Here is a 22256-nt window from a genome sequence, read left to right on the forward strand (position 1 = left end):
AAAACTCTGAAATCAGGATGAAAGTGTTTTGAAATACTGAGAGGCAAAAAACTTAAAAATATCCTTAGCATTGAACAAGCAGTGTCAGCACTATAGGAAATAAGCAGTGTGTTATCAGCTCTTCTGCACATAGAAGATTAGAGCAAAGTTCATAACCCTATAAGTTCTTTGAAAAAAATTGCAGTATTTAGAGACCAAAATTACTGAATACCATGAAAAGCAATTTTTTGACACCTACTACGATTGAAATGAAGGTCAGCAAAACTCTCCAGATAATTGCTTAAGGTCACTGAAGTCTTAGCAAAAGCTGGGTCCCTGACTTAGCAGGGAGAAGAGCCTAGAGCTGGAGCTCATTTTCCCTGTAAAGACATTTGAACATGAAAATTAGTCATTAACAGAAAAAAGTTATTGCTTCAGATGGCCTAATCATGTTTCCACCTTCAGTGACCCAATGCATTTGGAGACTCAGGGAACAGGGGACTGCTATGTGAATGGGCTTTAATCAGATCTTCTTCCACCAGGGACCCACCCAGGCACATGCATATTGGCATGATGTCCCCACACAGTGCCTGGTTTGTCAGCAGAAATGGCAGATTATGCCCTGACTGTCTGGGTATTGGAGACAACAAAAATCCTCTGGATATATTGCCCCATCATCTTTCACCATTGAAATCCCCCAGGAAGAAGATGGCATGAAATCACTGTTAGGTTGAATTTTAAAAAACCACTCATCCTTATCTAAACAACCCAGCCTTAAATATCTGAACAACCCACCTGCAAACAGAGCTGTGCTGCACTGGGACTGCCTCCCCAAAAAATCATACATGCATCTTTTAAGGTGAGAAAAATAAAAACCCCACCTTCATGTAGGGCTTTAGAATATAATTTTTCTTCATAAATTGTGCAGAGTAGAAAAGCAGTCCTTTCAGAGGTCTGGCATTTTACAGTGTTCTGCTTGAGTTAATAGATTAAAAGACATTAGTTTAATATATATGACTTTTATTTAAAAAGATAAGACTACCTTTCAACTTTAATTTTAAACCTGGTGACAAATAATTCTTAGCTTACACTAAAAAAAGTAGAGGTCCCATGTACAGGTTGCAGTCATGGCCTGAGGAGCTGAAGGCGGTAGAGATTTGGGCCCCATCACAGCACTTGTGTTTCTGATGTCTTTGCTTACTTAGCGATTGAAATTTCTGCTACACTGATATGTCAGCTGATCTTGTTCCCAGGATTCACAGAACCTCTTTGCATTGGAAATAGTCTTTCTTGGCATTTCCTGGACAGTCAAGCATGATGTTACTTCTCTGAATGTCAATAACTCGTTGTTCCTATTGTCCTTCATCTTCTCATGCACCATGACCTTTGTCTCAGAATTTCTGGACCTGCTGGGTTGTTGGACCCTGTGCCATCCATTATGCTACTGACTCGGGTTTTAGCCAACCCCTCTGTTCTGGAAGCCACGTTAGTCCTTTGCTTGCTGGGTCAACACAGGCTTTGCCAATGTGGGGTGCCAGAGAGAGACTAGAGACAGAGGGGGAAGACGCAGCTCATTCTCTCTTTGGATTTCTTGCCTGTGATCTTTGACCCAGCACATTCCTTTGACCTCCCATAGAAAGAGTGGAATCTGGTTGGTGGTTTTCTTTTAATACCTGTCGAAGGAGCCTTATCACACCCTTCGCAGAGACAGCAGCGCCAGCCAGCAGGTGCCCTCTCTTGAGAAGTCCAGCCCCCAGGCCCATGGGGCCCCTCTGAGCTCACAGACACCCTCATGTGAGGTCTCAGGCTCAGCACCGTAGGTCCCTTCCTCTAAGCTTTCAAGTTTTTTTTAAATGCTTTAAGTTCTGGGTTACATGTGCAGAACGTGCAGGTTTGTTACACAGGTATACATGTGCCACGGTGGTTTGCTACACCCATCAACCTGTCACTACATTAGGTTTTTCTCCTAATGCTATCCCTCCCCTAGCCCCCCACCCCCCAACAGGCCCCGGTGTGTGATGTTCCCCTCCCTGTGACCATGTGTTCTCGTTGTTCAACTCCCACTTATGAGTGAGAACATGCACTGTTTGATTTTCTGTTCTTGTGTTAGTTTGCTGAGAATGATGGTTTCCAGCTTTCAAGTTTTAATGATTCCAGTGTTTTCCTGTTTTTCTCTCAGCCTTAGTGGTGACAGCTGTGATAATTTAGTGCTCCTATGGGACACCTTAGTGTTCTCTGTCTGTCTTTTTAGTTAACTAGTTAACAGTTCTTTCCACCTGGCTAATGGTTCTTTATACTAAATTTTTTGTTACATTAACTGGTATGATTCCTGGGCCCTGAGTAATATAGATGACATCACTAATGATGTTAAGCAAAAGTCCTCCATCAGCAATTTCATTGGCAACACGAATGTGATCTAAAGATTGTTTTAAAGGTGCCTAAAATTGTATTCCTAATCTCTTACAAAAGGACCAGAATATGGGTTTTAAACCACCAAAGTTATTCGTGACACATAGTTATGTCAGTCAAAACTCATGGTGGCAAGTGACACAAAATTTAGCTGAAGCAAAAAGGGGGGAATATTGGCTCATTGACTGAATGACATAGCAAAAACTGGGCCCTTGAGTTGTCATGGGAGGACAGCTTAGAGCTGGAGTTCATTGTCCTTGTAAAGACATTTGACTATGAAAATTAGTCATTGACAGAAAAAGCTATTGCTTCAGATGGTCTAATAATATTGCCAACTTTACTGACCTAATGTATTTGAGGGCCCAGAGGACAGGGGATAAGGCCTGCCTTCAAATAGAGCTGGGCCAAAGCACTGAATGTCCATCATAATATCTAAGCCTGGTTTTCTCCATTGCCTGCCTTGCTTTTCTCTCTTCTGGCTCCATTCTCAGGTAGGCTCTTCCTCGTGAGGTCAAGATTGCTCCCAATAGCTCCCAGCTTATTCTTATTTTCTCAGCAATCCCAGTGGAAAGATAGAATCTCTGCTTTCAACATCCACAGAAAAAGCCCTGGGGTGATTTCCGTGGCTCTGGGTGTGTGGTATCCATCCCTGGAGGTTGGAGCACACTACATTCTCATTGTCTGGGCTCATATGACCACATCTGCAGGGAAACAGAGAATCTGTTTCACCCAAAACAAAAGGACTAGAACATAGTTGCAATTTTCCCAAGGAAAATGTAAGTGCTGTGACCATGAGGCGGGGAAATGAATGCTGAGCTGCAAAACCCACAGATGCCCTCACCGTAGAGGCTCTGAACGAAGGAGAGAGAAGTGAGAAGGGTTGTCGTGGGGCCCTGCTCAGAGTACCCACTTCTGGAACGTGACTGGTTGAAAGTCTTCAGACACCATTCTTTGGACCCCTCTCCACTCATTTGGGCCACTCCCAGCCACTGACTAAGCGAGGCAGAATACTAGAATTGGGCCATTTCTGCCTGATGCAGGATTCCTCTGTTGGGCAATGTTAGTTCGGCCACATTGCCTGGGCAAGGCTCTTTCAGTACTGCCCCATAGTCTGAGGCTCTTTCTACCCAATCCTTCCTGCTCTCTCTTCTTTCACAGGTGTCAGGGCTGCATTGCAATCTGGAAGCTCTCTTCACTACTCCTGATCCCTCCCTGTTATCCTTCACGGCATCTCCCTGAATGATCCTTGCCTGTAGAATTATTTCCTGGTGTCTGCTTCTCAGAGGACCTGAACTGACACAGCATGCGTGAATCTTTTATAGCTCTGTCCTCCAAATGGCTGTAAATTGTGTGTGCTCTTTGATTTTGGCTGATGGTTTGGCGGAGGTATTTAATCTCTCTACTGATAATGATGTCTGATGAAAGAAGACAAAGACTGCTGCTCGAACCGTACATCTTGAGGAAAGAAGGTGGTCCTGAACAGTGCCCCAGCCACGTTCAGATGTTCAAGCTTCCCATCCATGGTGCAGGCCACAGACAGGCAGACACCTTCATTTTATTTTATGAACTGTAACAAGAGAAAGTGTTCACTGAATTGTCTTGGTCATTAACAGATTGGAGGCAGCCACAAACTTTATGAGAGTTCACTTGCTGAGTCACAGGGAGATATTAGTCAGCCTGAGCCTTTGATAGTGCCAGGCTCTATAGTGAAATGTTTAATGCTCTCCCATTTAATGGAAAATATACATTGTTGGTAACATCTGTGGGGCTGTTCAAGAAGCCAGAAACCGCAAGAGTTCCTGGCCTGACCCTCACTGGCAGGTGCAATGATTCTCAGATCTTTGTTATTTTCTGGTTATCGTTACCCGGTTAGCCAAAATATGTGTTTTTATGAAAAATCGTGATAAATACTGTATTCCTTACTGGTGGCATTTTTCTTCTCAAAAATACATTAATCAAGGCTTTAGGCAGCAAACTGGAATCTGATTGATAAAGTAAATCTTGAGGAGCTGTTCTGTGGGTCACAGTCCCCATTTTCCCCGTTGGTGAACTTTTAGCTTTCTGCTTAGGGGGATTTTGTCTTATTTAGCTCCATCCGATGAGGCTGAGTCCATTAGGAAACTCAGTGGAAGGAGCTGGAAAAATGAACTTCTAACCATTCTAATGGAAAAATCTACACTCTAAGCTGGAAAAAGGCTTTCCTAATGAACAAGGAGAATATTTTTCCTCGGTGGCCATGAGGTGGTGCTACTGGAAACCGCCAGGGCACTTGTAAGTGAAAAACAGAGCATCAGTAATTTGGCGAGAATTCAGAAAACAAAACTTTCTCTCTGTCCAAGACAATGACTGCATTTCTATTTATTTCTCTCCTGCTCAAAACTCCTAAGGATCACTCAGTGCTGCATTTCATTTTCACTGGACCCCAGTAGACGGTGGACAAAAGTATTTTGTAACAAATCTAGTATGACTTGTCATTTGTCTTTACAAGCATCGGCAAAATCCTATTAGAGTGTGCCAGTATTCTTTGTGTTTGTTTGTCTCTTAAGTCCAAGGCTCAAATTTACATAAAGGTGAAATGATTGACAACCAGCATATTTTAACTTGAAGCAGCTTTAATTTTGCTATGATTTCACATTGTTTCCTCATGTATGGAAAGCATAATCCTGGAAATTAGGTTTCCAGTGAAAACAAGGACATCTCTCTTATTGCTGTATTATAGTTGTCTTAAAAAATTCCTCATCTTCCCAGTGTGAGGAAGATAATTTGACACAATGTTCAATCCTGGATTCACTTAACTTTGTCTTTTTTTCCACCAATGTAACTTCCAGCTTTCTGATGAGCAAGAGTTTTATAATGTATGATGAGTATAACTAATCTAGAATTAATTTCATGTACAAAAATACTTGAGTCATATACGAATTGATGATTTTTACAGGTTTTTCAAGTATTTACTTGGCTATTATTCTCATAAATGCACTCAGATAATGGTTTCTGATTTTGTGATTAAAAAATTATGGTCTGGGGGGCTGGCTGGCAAGATGGCCAAATAGGAACAGCTCCAGTCTGTAGCTCCCAGCGAGACCAATGCAGAAGGCAGGTGATTTCTGCATTTCCAACTGAGGTACCCTGTTTGTCACATTGGGACTGGTTAGGCAGTGGGTGCAGCCCATGGAGGGCAAGCAGAAGCAGGGTGGGGCATCGTCTCACCTGGGAAGTGCAGGGAGCAGGGGCCCTCCCTTTCCCAGCCAAGGGAAGCCTTGAGGGACTGTGCTATCCAGCCCAGATATTCCTTACCTATGGTTTTTGTAACTGCAGACCAGGAGATTCCCTCATGAGCCTACACCACCAGGGCCCTGGGCCCTGTTTGGACGGTTGTTTGGGCAGGCACCGAGCTAGCTCCAGGAGTTCTTTTTTTTTCATACCCCAGTGGTGCCTGGAACCCCAGCAAGACAGAACCATTCACTCCTCTAGAAAGGGGGCTGAGCCAGAGAGAAAAGTGGTCTTGCTCAGTGGATCCCACTCCTACAGAGCCCAGCAAGCTAAGAACCACTGATAGAAATTTTTCCTGCCAGCACAGCAGTCTGAAGATGACCTGGGATGATTGAGCTTGGTGGGGGGAGGGGCGTCTGCCATCACTGAGGCTTGAGTAGGTGGGTTTCCCCGATAGTGCTAAAAAGGCCTGGAAGTTCAGACTGGGCAGAACTCAACACAGCATGGCAAAGCAGCTGTGGCCAGACTGCCTCTCTAGATTTCTCTTCACTGAGCAAGGCATGTCTGAAAGAAAGGCAGCGGTCTCAGTCAGGGGCTTACGGATAAAACTCCCATCTCGCTGGGACAGAGCACATTGGAGAAGGGGCGGCTGTGGGCGCAACTTCATCAGACTTAAACATTCCTGTCTGCTGGCTCTGAAGAGAGCAGCGGATCCTGACTAGGAGGGTTCTACCAGCACAGTGCTTGAGCTCTGCTAAGGGACAGACTACCTCCTCAAGTAGGTCCCTGACTCCCATGCTTCCTGACTGGGAGAGACCTCCCAACAGGGGTTGACAGACACCTCATACAGGAACGCTCTGGCTGGCGTCAAGGCAGTGCCCCTCTGGGATGGAGCTTCCAGAGGAAGGAGGAGGCAGCAATCTTTGCTGTTCTGCAGCCTCCGCTGGTGATACCCAGGCAAATAGGGTCTGGAGTGGACCTCCAGCAAACTGCAGCAGACCTGCAGAGAGGGGTCTGACTGTTAGACTAACAAACAGAAAACAATAACATTAACATCAACAAAAAGAACCCTCCCTCCCCAACAGAAACCCCATCCAAAGGTCTTCAGCCTCAAAAATTGAAGGTAGATAAATCCACGAAGAGGAGGAAAAACCAGTGCATAAAGGCCGAAAATTCCAAAAACCAGAATTATTCTTCTCCTCCAAATGATTGCAACTCCTCTCCAGCAAGGGCACAAAACTGGACAGAGAATGAGTTTGACGAATTGACAGAAGGAGGCTTCAGAAGGTGGGTAATAACAAACTCCTGTGAGCTAAAGGAGCATGTTCTAACTCTTTAGTGCAAGGAAGCTAAGAACCTTGACAAAAGGTTACAGGAACTGCTAACTAAAATAACCAGTTTAGAGAAGAACATAAATGACCTGATGGAGCTGAAAAACACAGCATGAGAGCTTCATGAAGCATACACAAGTAACAATAGCCAAATTGATCAAGCATAAGAAAGAATATCAGAGATTGAAGATCAACTTAATGAAATAAGGTGTGAAGACAAGATTAGAGAAAAAAAGATTGAAAAGGAATGAACAAAGCCTTCAAGAAATATGGGACAATGTGAAAAGACCAATCCTATGATTGATTGGGTTTCCTGAAAGTGACCAGGAGAATGGAACCAAGTTAGAAAACACTCTTCAGGATATTATCCAGGAGAACTTCCCCAACCTAGCAAGACAGGCCAACATTCAAATTCAGGAAATACAGAGAACACCACTAATATACTCCTCAAGAAGAGCAACTCCACGACACATAATCATCAGATTCTCCAAGGTTGAAACAAAGGACAAAATACTAAGGGCAGCCAGAGAGAAAGGTCAGGTTACCTACAAAGGGAAGTCCATCAAACTAACAGCAGATCTCTTTGCAGAAATGCTGCAAGCCAGAAGAGAGTGGAGGTCAATATTCAACATTTTTAAAGAAAAGAATTTTCAGCCCAGAATTTCATATCCAGCCAAACTAAGTTTCATAAGTGAAGCTGAAATAAAATCCTTTACAGACAAGCAAATGCTGAGGGATTTTGTCACCACCAGGCCTGCCTTAAAAGAGCTCCTGAAGGAAACACTAAATATGGAAAGGAAAAACCGGTACCAGCTACTACAAAAACACACCAAAATATAAAGACCAATGACACTATGAAAAATCTGCATCAACTAATGTGCAAAATAACCAGCTAGCATTATGATGACAGGATCAAATTCACACATAACAATATTAACCTTAAATGTAAATGGGCTAAATGCCCCAGTTAAAGACACAGGCTGGCATATTGGATAAAGAGTCAAAACCCATTGGTGTGCTGTATTCAGGAGACCCACCTCACATGCAAAGACACACACAGTCTCAAAATAAAGGGATGGAGGAATATTTACCAAGCAAATGGAAAGCAAAAAAAGCAGGCAGGGGTTGCAATCCTAGTCTCTGATAAAACAGATTTTAAACCAACAAAGATCAAAAAAAACAAAGAAGAGCATTACATAATGGTAAAGGGATCAACACAACAAGAAGAGCTAACTATCCTAAATATATATGCACCCAATACAGGAGCACCCAGATTCATAAAACAAGTTCTTAGAGACCTAAAAAGAGACGTAGACTCCCACAGAATAATAGGGGGAGACTTTAACACCCCACTGTCACCCACTGTCAATATTAGACTGATCAACAAGACAGAAGATTAACAAGGATATTCAGGACTTGAACTCAGCTCTGGACCAAGTAGATCTAATAGATATCTACAGAACTCTCCACCCCAAATCAACAGAATATACATTCTTCTCAGTACCACAGCACACTTATTCTAAAATTGACCACATAATTGGAAGTAAAACATTCCTCAGCAAATGAAAAAGAACAGAAAACATAACAAACAGCCTCTCAGACCACAGTGCAATCAAATTAGAACTCAGGATTAAGAAACTCACTCAAAACTGTACAACCACATGGAAATGGAACAACCTGCTCCTGAATGACTACTGGGTACATAATGAAATGAAGGCAGAAATAAATAAGTTATTTGAAACCAACGAGAACAAAGAGAAAACATACCAGAATCTCTGGATCACAGCTAAAGCAGTGTTTAGAGGGAAGTTTATAGCACTAAATGCCCACAAGAGAAATCAGGAAAGATCTAAAATCGACACCCTAACATCACAATTAAAAGAACTAGAGAAGCAAGAGCAAACAAATTTAAAAGCTAGCAGAAGACAAGAAAAAACTAAGATCAGAGCAAAACTGAAAGAGATAGAGGCACAAAAACCCTTCAAAAAATCAATGAATCCAGGAGCTGGTTTTTTGAAAATATTAACAAAATAGATAGACTGGTAGCCAGAATAATAAACAGGAAAAGAGAGAAGAATCAAATAGACACAATAAAAAATGATAAAGGGGATATCACCACTGATCCCACAAAAATACAAACTACCATCAGAGAATACTATAAACACCTCTATGCAAATAAACTAGAAAATCTAGAAGAAATCAGTAAATTCCTGGACACATACACCCTCCCAAGACTAAACCAAGAAGAAGTGGAATCCCTCAATAGACCAATAACAAGTTCTGAAATTAAGGCAGTAATTAATAGCCTACCAACCAAAAAAAGCCCAAGACCAGGTGGATTCACAGCTGAATTCTACCAGAGGTACAAAGAGGAGTTGATACCACTCCTTCTGAAACTGTTCCAAACAATAGAAAAAGAGGGACTCCCCACTAACTCATTTTTTGAGGCCAGCATCATCCTGATACCAAAACCAGGCAGAGACACAACAAAAAAAGAAAATTTCAGGCCAATATCCCTGATGAACATCGATGGGAAGATCCTCAATAAAATTCTGCAAACCGAATCCAGCAGCACATCAAAAAGCTTATCCACCATAATCAAGTTGGCTTCATCCCTGGGATGCAAGGCTGGTTCAACATATGCATATCAGTCAACATAATCTGTTACATAAACAGAACCAATGACAAAAAGCACATGATTATCTCAATAGATTCAGAAAAGGCCTTCAATAAAATTCAACACTGCTCCATACTAAAAACTCTCAATAAACTAGGTATTGATGGAACACATGTCAAAATAATAAGAACTATTTATTACAAACTCATAGCCAATATAATACTGAATGGGCAAAAGCTGAGGGCATTCATTTGAAAACTGGGATAAAGATACCATCTCTCCCCACTCCTATTCAACATAGTATTGGAAGTTCTAGTCGGAGCAATCAGGCAAGAGAAAGAAATAAAGGGTATTTAAATAGGAGGAGAGGAATTCAAATTGTCTCTGTTTGCAAATGACATGATTGTATATTTAGAAAACCCCATCATCTCAGCCCCAAAACTCCTTAAACTGATAAGCAACTTCAGCAAAGTCTCAGGACACAAAATCAATGTGCAAAAATTTCAAGCATTCCTATATACCAATAACAGACAAGCAGAGAGCCAAATCATGAGTGAACTCCCATTCACAATTGCTACAAAGTGAATAAAATACCTAAGAATACAACTTACAAGGGAAGTGAAAGACCTCTTCAAGGAGAACTACAAGCCACTGCTCAAGGAAATGAGAGAGGATGCAAACAAATGCATAAACATTCCATGGTCATGGATAGGAAGAATCAATATCATGAAAATGGCCATACTGCCTAAAGTAATTTACAGATTCAATGCTTTTCCCATCAAGGTGCTATTCACTTTCTTCATATAACTAGAAAAAACTACTTTACATTTCACATGGAACCAGAAAAGAGCCTGTATAGCCAAGACAATCCTAAGTCAAAAGAACAAAGCTGGAGGCATCATACTACCTGACTTCAAACTATGCTGCAAGGCTGCAGCAACCAAAACAGCATGGTACTGACACCAAAACCGATATTTAGACCAATGGAACAGAACAGAGGCCTCAGAAATAATACCACACATCTACAACCATCTGATCTTCACCAAACCTGACAACAATAAGCAATGGGGAAAGGATTACACATTTAATAAATGGTGCTGGGAACACTGGCTAGCCATATGCAGAAAACAGAACTGGAACCCTTCCTTACACCTTATAGAAAAATTAACCCAAGATGGATTAAAGACTTAAATGTAAAACCTAAAACTATAATAACCGTAGAATAAACCCTAGGCAATACCATTCATGACATAAGCATGGGCAAAGCCTTCATGACTAAAACACTAAAAACAATTGCAACAAAAGCCAAAATTGACAAATGGGATCTAATTCAACTAAAGAGCTTCTGCTCAGCAAAATAAACTACCATCAGAGTTAACAGGCAATCTAAAGAATGGGAGATAATTTTTGCAATCTATCCATCTGACAAAGGTCTAATGTCTAGTATCTACAAGGAAGTTAAAACAAATGTACAAGAAAAAAACAACCCCATCAAAAAGTGGGTGAAGCATTTGAACAGACACTTCTCAAAAGATGACATTTATGCAGCCAACAAACGTATGAAAAAAAGCTTATCACTGGTTATTAGAGAACTGCAAATCAAAACCACAATGAGATACCATCTCATGCCAGTTAGAATGATGATCATTAAAAAGTCTGGAAACAACAGATACTGGCAAGAATGCAGAGAAATAGGAATGCTTTTACATGGTTGGTAGGAGTGTAAATTAGTTCAACCATTGTGAAAGACAGTGTGGCAATTTCTCAAGGATCTTAGAACCAAAAATACCATTTGACCCAGCAATCCCCTTACTGGGTATATACCCAAAGGATTATAAGTCATTCTACTATAAAGACACATGCACACATGTTTATTGCAGCAGTATTTACCATAGCAAAGACTTGGAACCAACCCAAATGCCTATCAATTATAGACAGGATAAAGAAAATGTGGCACATATACACCATGGAATACTATGCAGTCATAAAAAAGGAATGAATTCACATCCTTTGCAGGGATATGGATGAAGCTAGCAAGCATCATCCTCAGCAAACTAACACAGGAGCAGAAAACCAAACACTGCATGTTGTCACTCATAAGTGGGAGTTGAACAATGAGAACACATGGACACAGGGAGGGGAACATCACACAGCAGGGTCTGTTGAGGGGTCGGGGGAAAGAGGAGGGAGAGCATTAGGACAAATACCTAATGCATGCAGGGCTTAAAACCTAGATGACGGGTTAATAGGTACAGCAAACCACCGTGGCACAAGTATACTTATGTAACAGACCTGCACATTCAGCACATGTATCCCAGAACCTAAAGTAAAATAAATAAATAAAATTAAAAAAAATTTTAAAAATAAAAAATTATGTTCTGGAGGGAGGGTGAAATGAATTGTTCTTGAAAGGCTATAAAGTTTGTTATGAGTAAAGAGTAGAGATCTGATTTACAAAATAGTACCTATAGCTAAGAATACAGTATTTTGCATTTTAAAATATGTTAAGAGGCTAGATCTCATGTTAAGTGATTTTACCAAACAACTTACCAACCAACCAACCAAACAATTAACCAACCAACCAGCCAACCAACCAACCAAACAGAAAATCAACAAAGAAGACAAGGACATTTTTGGAGGTGACGGATATGTCTAGTACTTTGGTTGTGGTGGTGGTATCACAGGTATATGCATTTGTTCAAATGATTCAAGATGTGTACATTAAGTCTTTGCTTTAGGGGTATATCAATTATACCTCAATAAAACTAAAAAATTATGGGCAATGCAACAATGGAAAATCCTTAGTACTGAGTAAAAGTATTAATATGTCTGAGAAGCATGCATTAGTCTTTGCACTTAAATATGTTGATTTTTTGTTTAATTTTTCTCTACAAACAATTTCATTCAGTTGGTTAAGGAGCACAGGCTGATTTTTTTATAATTGAAATTCAGAAAGGCAGAGTTTAATTGCCTTGATTGAATTTGCATTCATGCTGGTGTTTTTAGTTAGTAGGGTATGCTAAATAAAACAAGCAAACAATCTTCATTACCTTTGGAATTACCAATCAAGCTCCTTTTCTCATTTCTGTAGGTCTTTACTGCCAATTTACTGAGAGCATATTTTCAGTATCTGAATTTTATAGGCTGTGGCACAACTGATTAGGGCTAAAAGCTGACCACCAGGTGGTTGAGGAGTGGTTAATTGAAGGAATGGGCACCATAATTACAGATTAAGTGAGGCATATTGGAGTTAGGAATCAAAGAGTCTCATCTGATTAACTCAGTTTTGTATAGAATTTTAGTTTTTATCAAAGTCATACATATACAGAGTTTAAACAATTTACTGTTTTTTAAAAAAGCAAAACACAACAAAAACAAAATAGTGGGCTTCTACTCTGCTGTTCGCCATCTTTGAGTCTTCTCCCCTAGAGACAACCACTTTCGTTTCTTTAGGCTCTTTCCTCTGATACTGACTATATATTTCCATTGCTTGAATTTCCAATTATAAGAATTTATTTTGACTTCATATTACCAAAGGTGAGGATTTAAGACTCTCTTACCTACCCCCAACATATACTCACTTTTCTATCCTCCTAACATGGCTATATGTCAGTTTTGGGGCAAAACCGTATTTAGAGATTGCGTTATTATTTCTACATAAGCAATGTCCCACCGCTGAGCTGCAGAGTGTCCTAGGACTGTATTTATTTTATTTTACTTTTTCCCCTTGGTGTTAATTATGCCACGTATTTTATTTGCTTAGTTTTCTGTATGCCAGAGGCTTAATCACGCTAATCTCCCCTACAGAATTATAAATAAGATCTCTCTTATCTGGTCAAATACATCAGGGATTCTATTCATTTTATTTTATTGTTTTCCTCTGGAAACATCTCTCTTGAAACCACCTATTCTTCTTCTCCAACCTGGAGCTTTCTAGAGCCTGCAGAGCTGGGTTACTGAAGCCCCACTTCATCACTATCCTGGGAATTCTCATTGTCTCTGTCACTCCTGCATTGAATTCTGTTTGCTGGGCCCCATGTTTCCTCCTTTCTTGGTTGGATCTGTCATTTGGTGGAGCATGTCCTCTGGTAGCTTCCGGAGAGAGGATCCATGAAGTGACTCTTTTAGAGACATTGTATATCTGAAAATTTCTTTTCCAGGTATAGAGTTCTGGTTTGGACATGATTTTTCCTTCTGTATTTCGAACTTCTAGATTCCAGTCCTCCTATTGAGAAGCCCAATGCCATTGTGATTCCTGATCTTCTATTTCAACTTTTGGCATCTCTGATGTTCCGAGATTCCAGTTCTGTGCCTTGGTGTGGGTCATTTTTAAAATCCCTCGACTGGACATTGTGTGGGCCCCTTCAATGTGGGAAATCATGTTCTTCAATGTTATAAAATTATATTTATATGGTTTATGTGACAGTTCCTTTTTTTCTGCTTTCTCCTTTTAGAAATTATATTGTTTAGATGCTAAACTTACCAGATTCTTCTTGTCCAATATTGTCTTCTGTTTTCCATTTTTGGGGGAGGTCATGTTCATTCTATTTTCTGGGCCAGGGTGATTTCTTGGTCTTTTAAATTCAAGTTGTTCTTCTGGTCTCCTCTCAATTTCCTTAGTCCCGCACTCTACTGCCCCATTTTAAAAAAACTCTGTGTTAATTCTCTTATTCTTTGTAATTACTCCTTTGATAAAATATCATCCCTTTTTTATGGATGCAAAAGTATTCTGTAAACCTTTATTAAAGTCCCATAGATGCCTGTAGAGTCCTTTTAGGATTTGGGGTAAGTCAAGGTGGTAGAGCTTAGGTCCATGCCTGGATGTATGGAGAATATTTGTATTTTAAAGGAAATGCAAGAAAAAAAAGGGGAGTGTGAGTGAGGTCAAGAATTAGGGGGAGCAGGAACTTAAGGCCAAATGTCTCCATGAAATGTCAGTGCATGGCAACACACAGAAAGCCTGTGGAGGGTTCATGATAGAGACCTTGAGGCAGTCCCATTTTATTCTCAGTCTTGATAGTTTCAGTCTACACCTGGATTGCAACAATTTTGCTCTACATACATGCATATCTCATATTCTTGTGGCTGTATGGAACCCCATCCTCTCCATACCCCTTACCCCCGTCTACCAAAACACACACACCCAAACGCATGCACAAACACACATACAAATACACACACACAACCACACACAGTCACGAACATACAAACACACATACAGACACACACAAGTACACAAAAACACATACATATGAACACAAAAACACAAAGATTCACAAACACAGGCACACACACACACTCACAAACATACAAACACACATACAGACACAAACAAGCACAAACATACACAAACACATACAGGCGCATTTACACTCACAAACATACAAACACACATACAGACATACACAGCATGGCATGCACAAACACACACAATACAGTTACACACAAACACATACAAGAATACACACAGTCACAAATGTACAAACACAGACACAAGCACACACACAAGCACACACAAACACACACAAACACATACAGACACATACACACTCATAAACACACACACAGTCAAACACACAAACACATACATGTGTGGTACACAGATGTCTTAACTGTGTCAGGAGAAACCTTTTTTCTCTACTAGTCATTTTCTCACTGTGCTAATAGTGTCTTCATTGACTTGTGCCCTTCAGCCCTTCTCTGTATAGGGGACTTTGACTAATGGGACTCAGCTCAAACTGGGGAGAATTTTCCGATGCTCCCAGGCAGAATTTATCTTTCCCTCCTCCGTAGTCTTGTGGCAGTCCACACTTGGAACTTTACGTTTTAATTTTGTTTTCTATATATTTCCCCTCTCCAACTGCATCATCGCCCCTCCACAACCATAAAAAAATTTGCTGAGCACTTTTCTAAGAATATGTTACCAAATGGACCCGTTTAGTTATCATAACAACTGTATGAAGTAGCTATTATTACCAACCTCACTGCCTAGGTGAAGAAGCGGAGGTGCAGAGGAGATGCGTCCCCAGCCCATGGTCCTCAGCCAGGGAGAGTTTCAGAACATGAGCCAGGCAGTGGTTACACGTCCCATGCCTTTCTCTGCGGATCTACTGCCCAGCATAGTGTGGGTGCGTTCTCAGGAATGCTCATTCATCAGTGAATTCGTTCATAATACATTCTTAAAAAGATGGCAAACATTTTGTCTTGGTCACAAGTTGGAACTCATTTAAGGTAAATGTGTAAAATGTTCTGGAGAAAACGGTTGTTGTGCTTGTCATTTATTTGTTTTATCAAACACTGGGCACAGGCTCTAAAGCTCTGCTCAGTGAACTGATTTATGGAGGTAATTTGTTCATTGATTTATGTTTAATACCCCTGCCAATGCACTATTTTGCTTAATAGTCTCACTTTCCTGCTGGCAGCTAGACTTGGATGGGGTGACTAATCCACCACAGGGTGTCAGGTGGGCCTTCCCAGCCATGCTGAGAGTGGCTGTGCTGTCTCACTAATGAGTAAGTCTCCACACCGACTGTCACTCGCCAGGCAAAGCTGTCGTTGTGCAGATGCTGCTGAATACCCGAGCTCTTCCTTGCCAAATCCCCACCAACATTTTCTTTGTAATTACTCCTTTTATAAAATATCACTCCTTTTATACAAAATGAAGACATGGATGTGACCACTGGATTCTGAATTCTGGGGATCATTGGTGATTTCCCAAGATCAGTGTCACCAACATCAATTGTTCCAAGTATGATGTTGCCAAATGATGGGAAAACAAGACCTGTTGGAGTGGGTGGAGGGGGAATGAGATGTAAGCGTTAGGAGGCACTAATGATAAATTTCTTCTAGAAGAAATGTCTTGTGAAGAGGAATTGAGATTGCAAGTGATATGAGGGACAAGGGAGGATTTTGTTTTTTAACATGGGAAGATATTTATAAACCAGTGGACATAAAACAGTAGAGAAAAAGGAAACTGATGTGCTGTTAGAATTAATAATGCACATAAAACTATGAAACAAATACAAATGAAACAGAAGAGTGGAGGGAATTATTGTTTTAAAAAATGTACTATGTCTGATATGAAAGAATTTATGTCTAATCATAAAAGAATTTCCCTGAAAAGCAAAGAGAGGGGACTGAGTGCAGTGGCTTACTCCTGTAATCCCAACACTTTGAGACATTGAGAAAGGAGGATGACTTGAGGCCAGGAGTTCAAGACCAGCCTGGGCAACATAGCGAGACCCCTGTCTTGCCAAAAAATTAATATAAATTAAGTGGGTACGGTCATGCATGTCTGTCCCAGCTACTCAAGAGGCTGAGGTGAGAAGTACAGTTGAGCCCAGGAGTTGGAGGCTGCAGTGAGCCATGGATCTTGCCACTGCACTCCAGCCTGGGTGACAGAGTGAGACCCCATCTCAAAAAAAGAAAAAGAAAGAGTGAATATATCTACCAAAAGTGGGGGTATTTCTTTGACTCACTTCGGTTCTGGCACCTGGAACTTTTAATAATTCCTCTAATTACTTATTTGTTAGTTTTCAGTGTAGCTTTAATTGCCGAATAGGCACTATGAGATAAACTGACCAAGACTAGTCTTGCTGTGCACATTTGTATGGGGTCTGCAGTCATTTCTACATGAATGAGGCTTTTAAGAAATATTCCAATAAAATGACAAACCAAGTAACTCTTGCCAGTTATCTGATCTGTGAATTACACATCTGCAGTATTGTAAAATGATCTGAAGCTCAACTATGACTGTCTCAGCCCTCTCCAGACCATGACATGGATGGCAGCTGGATTGATATCAATGGAGGGAATTTTGTTTCCTCTTTCACTAGTCCAGGTATTGCTGCTTCCACTTCGAAGGAGATAATAAAATTTGTGTTTACCAGATTCCGAATGACTGGTGTATCTATTTTTTTTTCAGAAGATGATTTGGATAGTATGTGGATTTTTATTCCCCAAAGAAGTATTTCTTGGTTGTTTATGACTTTGTGAAGATGTCTACGCAGAAGTTCAAGACTCTGGGTTACCCCTCCTCTTTGCTAATCATTTGCTAGAGGTGCATAGAGAGAAGAAGATAGTCTTTAGTGTATCTATGTTCATATGTGCAAAAAGCCCCAAAATCTCTCACAGAGCTTGTCTTACTGCTGAAAGTAGAATGCTCTCCCTATCTCCTCAAAGATTTAGGATTTCTCTCCAGTCTCACTCAGGACAATACATCACAGCTAATACAAGCTGAGATATGTATTTAATTACAACTTCTGGTACAGTAAAAGGTAGTAGCTTGTATAAAGTCTAGAAAGAGAACAAAATAGTGAGAATATTATCGTATGCCTAAGAAATGGCTTACCAGACCAAAGATCAAAAAATACTGCCAATAAAATGTACCATGAATTCTGCATGATCTATTCAAAGTTGCTAAAGTGAGCAGGTAAAATTAACACCCAGTGATAAATATTGTCTCTTCCAACTGGAATTCTCTATGATTTAATTAAAAATGTATCCATCTTGCCAAATGATGGGATTACAAGGATGAGACATACTTATGTAAATTATATTCTTTGTCACTCAACTTGGACCTTGGCTACATCCCAGGGTGGACTATTTGCTAGATATTTCATTAATATTAATGCTGTCTCCCACCTGCCATTTTGACCAGTGTCAGCTTTCTAGATCCTCCTCATACCACCATTAATCTATAATGGGCATTTCAGAAATATGAATTCATTATAATATTTTTATGTTTAAAAGTAAATCCAACCAGTGAGTTATTTGTGGTCTGCTTGCGAGCTCACAGCAAGCTGGAGAAGACACATAAGAAAAGATAATAACTATACAACGAGCTACATAATACAATGGATGATAAAATAAAGGGTGTGTAAAGTCATAGAAGTCAAGAAAGAAAGTGGTTCAAGAAAAACGACCTGGTCAGCGGCAGCAAATACTGCTGCCAGGTGAAGTGAAATGAAGACATGGATGTGACCACTGGATTCTGAATTCTGGGGATCACTGGCGATTTCCCAAGGTCAATGTCACCAACATCAATTGATCCAAGTATGATATTGCCAAGAGATGGGAAAAGAAGACCTATGGGAACGGATGGAGCGGGAATGAGATGTAAGTGTTAGGAGGCACTAATGATAAACTTCTAGAAGAAATGTGTTGTGAAGGGGAACTGAGACTGGAGATGCTATGAGGGACAAGGGAGGATTTTATTTTTAATGTGGGAAGATAGTTATAAACTGATGGACATAAAACAGAGAAAAGGAAAACTGATTTGCTGTTAGAATTAAGTTAGTAATTCACATAAAACTATGAAATACAAATGAGACAGGAGAGTGGAGGTAATGATTATTATTGTTTTTAAAATGTACTATGTCTAATTATGAAAGAATTTCACAGTCACCAAATAAATCACTGAAAAATATGAAAGGGTAAAACCAAACTATCCATAAATTAATCATTCATAAATAACTTGTTTGGTTATTTTATTAGTTCTGCTCTGCTTTTTCATTCCAGTTTTATATTCAGTATTAATATGCAGTAGGAAAATTTCCTTCATTAATCCTACAGTGTATTTTTAATCATCTATCTTTGTTCATTTTTCCAAAGGAACTTCATGTCCATTCTGTGATGTTATAAAAATATACTATTGAGATTTTAATTTTGAAGAAATTTATAAATAACTTTACAGTAGTCAATCTTCTTATTATCACACTTCATATTTTTCCATTATTTTTATTTCTAGTTTTCTTCTTAAAGGCTCTACACATATCTTGTTAAGCTAGTCCCTGAGTATTTTGTTATTTTTATTATCATAGAATGTTTTTATTTTACCAGTTGTCACAACTGAGCAGTTGATCACTAATAGTAGCTCAGCGATTTTAAAGGGAGTTTTCCTTTGACAAGATGGATCTAGACCACTATAATGGAAAGAATGAAACAGCTTTAATTTGTGTAATTCTAATCTTTATCTAAAAATCAATGTCATTGTTCTGATTCTCGACTCAATGTATCATACTATATGCACTGAGACTGCATTTAGCCTTATACAATATGTTAGCTTCTTTTACATGGTTTCAGTGTCGTTTGCTTACTCACTTTTAGCCAAAAGTATGATTCAAGCATCTCCTTACATATTTCTCAAAGTTAATTATTCAAGCACATATTGTATAGGATTTGAACTTAATGGGGTTTGTACACCATGATCACTCACTCCTTTTGTTTAAGGAAACCTTACATACCTTGCTCTTTGCAAATACTCCTATTCACATTTATATTTCTGAGGAACATATTCTGATGTGCGATGAAAAATAAACAAGACCAGCGGAGGAGCCAAGATGGCCGAATAGGAACAGCTCCGATCTACAGCTCCCAGCGTGAGCGACGCAGAAGACGGGTGATTTCTGTATTTCCATCTGAGGTACCGGGTTCATCTCACTAGGGAGTGCCAGACAGTGGGCGCAGGCCAGTGGGTGTGCGCAACGTGCGCGAGCCGAAGCAGGGCGAGGCATTGCCTCACCTGGGAAGCGCAAGGGGTCAGGGAGTTCCCTTTCCGAGTCAAAGAAAGGGGTGACGGAGGCACCTGGAAAATCGGGTCACTCCCACCCAAATATTGCGCTTTTCAGACTGGCTTAAAAAACGGCGCACCACGAGACTATATCCCACACCTGGCTTGGAGGGTCCTACGCCCACGGAATCTCGCTGATTGCTAGCACAGCAGTCTGAGATCAAACTGCAAGGCGGCAGCGAGGCTGGGGGAGGGGCGCCCGCCATTGCCCAGGCTTGCTTAGGTAAACAAAGCAGCCAGGAAGCTCGAACTGGGTGGAGCCCACCACAGCTCAAGGAGGCCTGCCTGCCTCTGTAGGCTCCAGCTCTGGGGGCAGGGCACAGACAAACAAAAAGACAGCAGTAACCTCTGCAGACTTGAATGTCCCTGTCTGACAGCTTTGAAGAGAGCAGTGGTTCTCCCAGCACGCAGCTGGAGATCTGAGAACAGGCAGACTGCCTCCTCAAGTGGGTCTCTGACCCCTGACCCCCGAGCAGCCTAACTGGGAGGCACCCCCCAGCAGGGGCACACTGACACCTCACACTGCAGGGTATTCCAACAGACCTGCAGCTGAGGGTCCTGTCTGTTAGAAGGAAAACTAACAAACAGAAAGGACATCCACACTGAAAACCCATCTGTACATCACCATCATCAAAGACCAAAAGTAGATAAAACCACAAAGATGGGGAAAAAACAGAACAGAAAAACTGGAAACTCTAAAACGCAGAGCGCCTCTCCTCCTCCAAAGGTACGCAGTTCCTCACCAGCAACGGAACAAAGCTGGATGGAGAATGACTTTGACGAGCTGAGAGAAGAAACCTACAAGCCAGAAGAGAGTGGGGGCCAATATTCAACATTCTTAAAGAAAAGAATTTTCAACCCAGAATTTCATATCCAGCCAAACTAAGCTTCATAAGTGAAGGAGAAATAAAATACTTTACAGACAAGCAAATGCTGAGAGATTTTGTCACCACCAGGCCTGCCCTAAAAGAGCTCCTGAAGGAAGCGCTAAACATGGAAAGGAACAACTGGTACCAGCTGCTGCAAAATCATGCCAAAATGTAAAGACCATCGAGACTAGGAAGAAACTGCATCAACTAACGAGCAACATCACCAGCTAACGTCATAATGACAGGATCAAATTCACACATAACAATATTAACTTTAAATGTAAATGGACTAAATTCTCCAATTAAAAGACACAGACTGGCAAGTCGGATAAAGAGTCAAGACCCATCAGTGTGCTGTATTCAGGAAACCCATCTCATGTGCAGAGACACACATAGGCTCAAAATTAAAGGATGGAGGAAGATCTACCAAGCAAATGGAAAACAAAAAAAGGCAGGGGTTGCAATCCTAGTCTCTGATAAAACAGACTTGAAACCAACAAAGATCAAAAGAGACAAAGAAGGCCATTACATAATGGTAAAGGGATCAATTCAACAAGAGGAGCTAACTATCCTAAATATATATGCACCCAATACAGGAGCACCCAGATTCATAAAGCAAGTCCTGAGAGACCTACAAAGAGACTTAGACTCCCACACATTAATAATGGGAGACTTTAACACCCCACTGTCAACATTAGACAGATCAACGAGACAGAAAGTCAACAAGGATACCCAGGAATTGAACTCACCTCTGCACCAAGCGAACCTAATAGACATCTACAGAACTCTCCACCCCAAATCAACAGAATATACATTTTTTTCAGCACCACACCACACCTATTCCAAAATTGACCACATAGTTGGAAGTAAAGCTCTCCTCAGCAAATGTAAAAGAACAGAGATTATAACAAACTGTCTCTCAGACCACAGTGCAATCAAACTAGAACTCAGGATTAAGAATCTCACTCAAAGCCGCTCAACTACATGGAAACTGAACAACCTGCTCCTGAATGACTACTGGGTACATAACGAAATGAAGGCAGAAATAAAGATGTTCTTTGAAACCAACGAGAACAAAGACACAACATACCAGAATCTCTGGGACGCATTCAAAGCAGTGTGTAGAGGGAAATTTATAGCACTAAATGCCCACAAGAGAAAGCAGGAAAGATCCAAAATTGACACCCTAACATCACAATTAAAAGAACTAGAAAAGCAAGAGCAAACACATTCAAAAGCTAGCAGAAGGCAAGAAATAACTAAAATCAGAG

The 22256-nt window shown here is 40.6% G+C and overlaps 1 annotated feature.

The window, feature by feature from the left end:
• Window positions 19451-20650: an enhancer, noted in NCBI's record as "BRD4-independent group 4 enhancer chr5:6965968-6967167 (GRCh37/hg19 assembly coordinates)". NCBI's record gives its function as "activates an origin of replication core promoter dependent on BRD2, P300/CBP, MED14 and CDK7 cofactors, and independent of BRD4, by STARR-seq in HCT116 cells {active_cell/tissue: HCT116}" and the evidence as "EXISTENCE:reporter gene assay evidence [ECO:0000049][PMID:35650434]".

This window comes from Homo sapiens, chromosome 5, assembly GCF_000001405.40.
Source record: "Homo sapiens chromosome 5, GRCh38.p14 Primary Assembly".
Taxonomy (NCBI): Eukaryota; Metazoa; Chordata; class Mammalia; order Primates; family Hominidae; genus Homo; species Homo sapiens.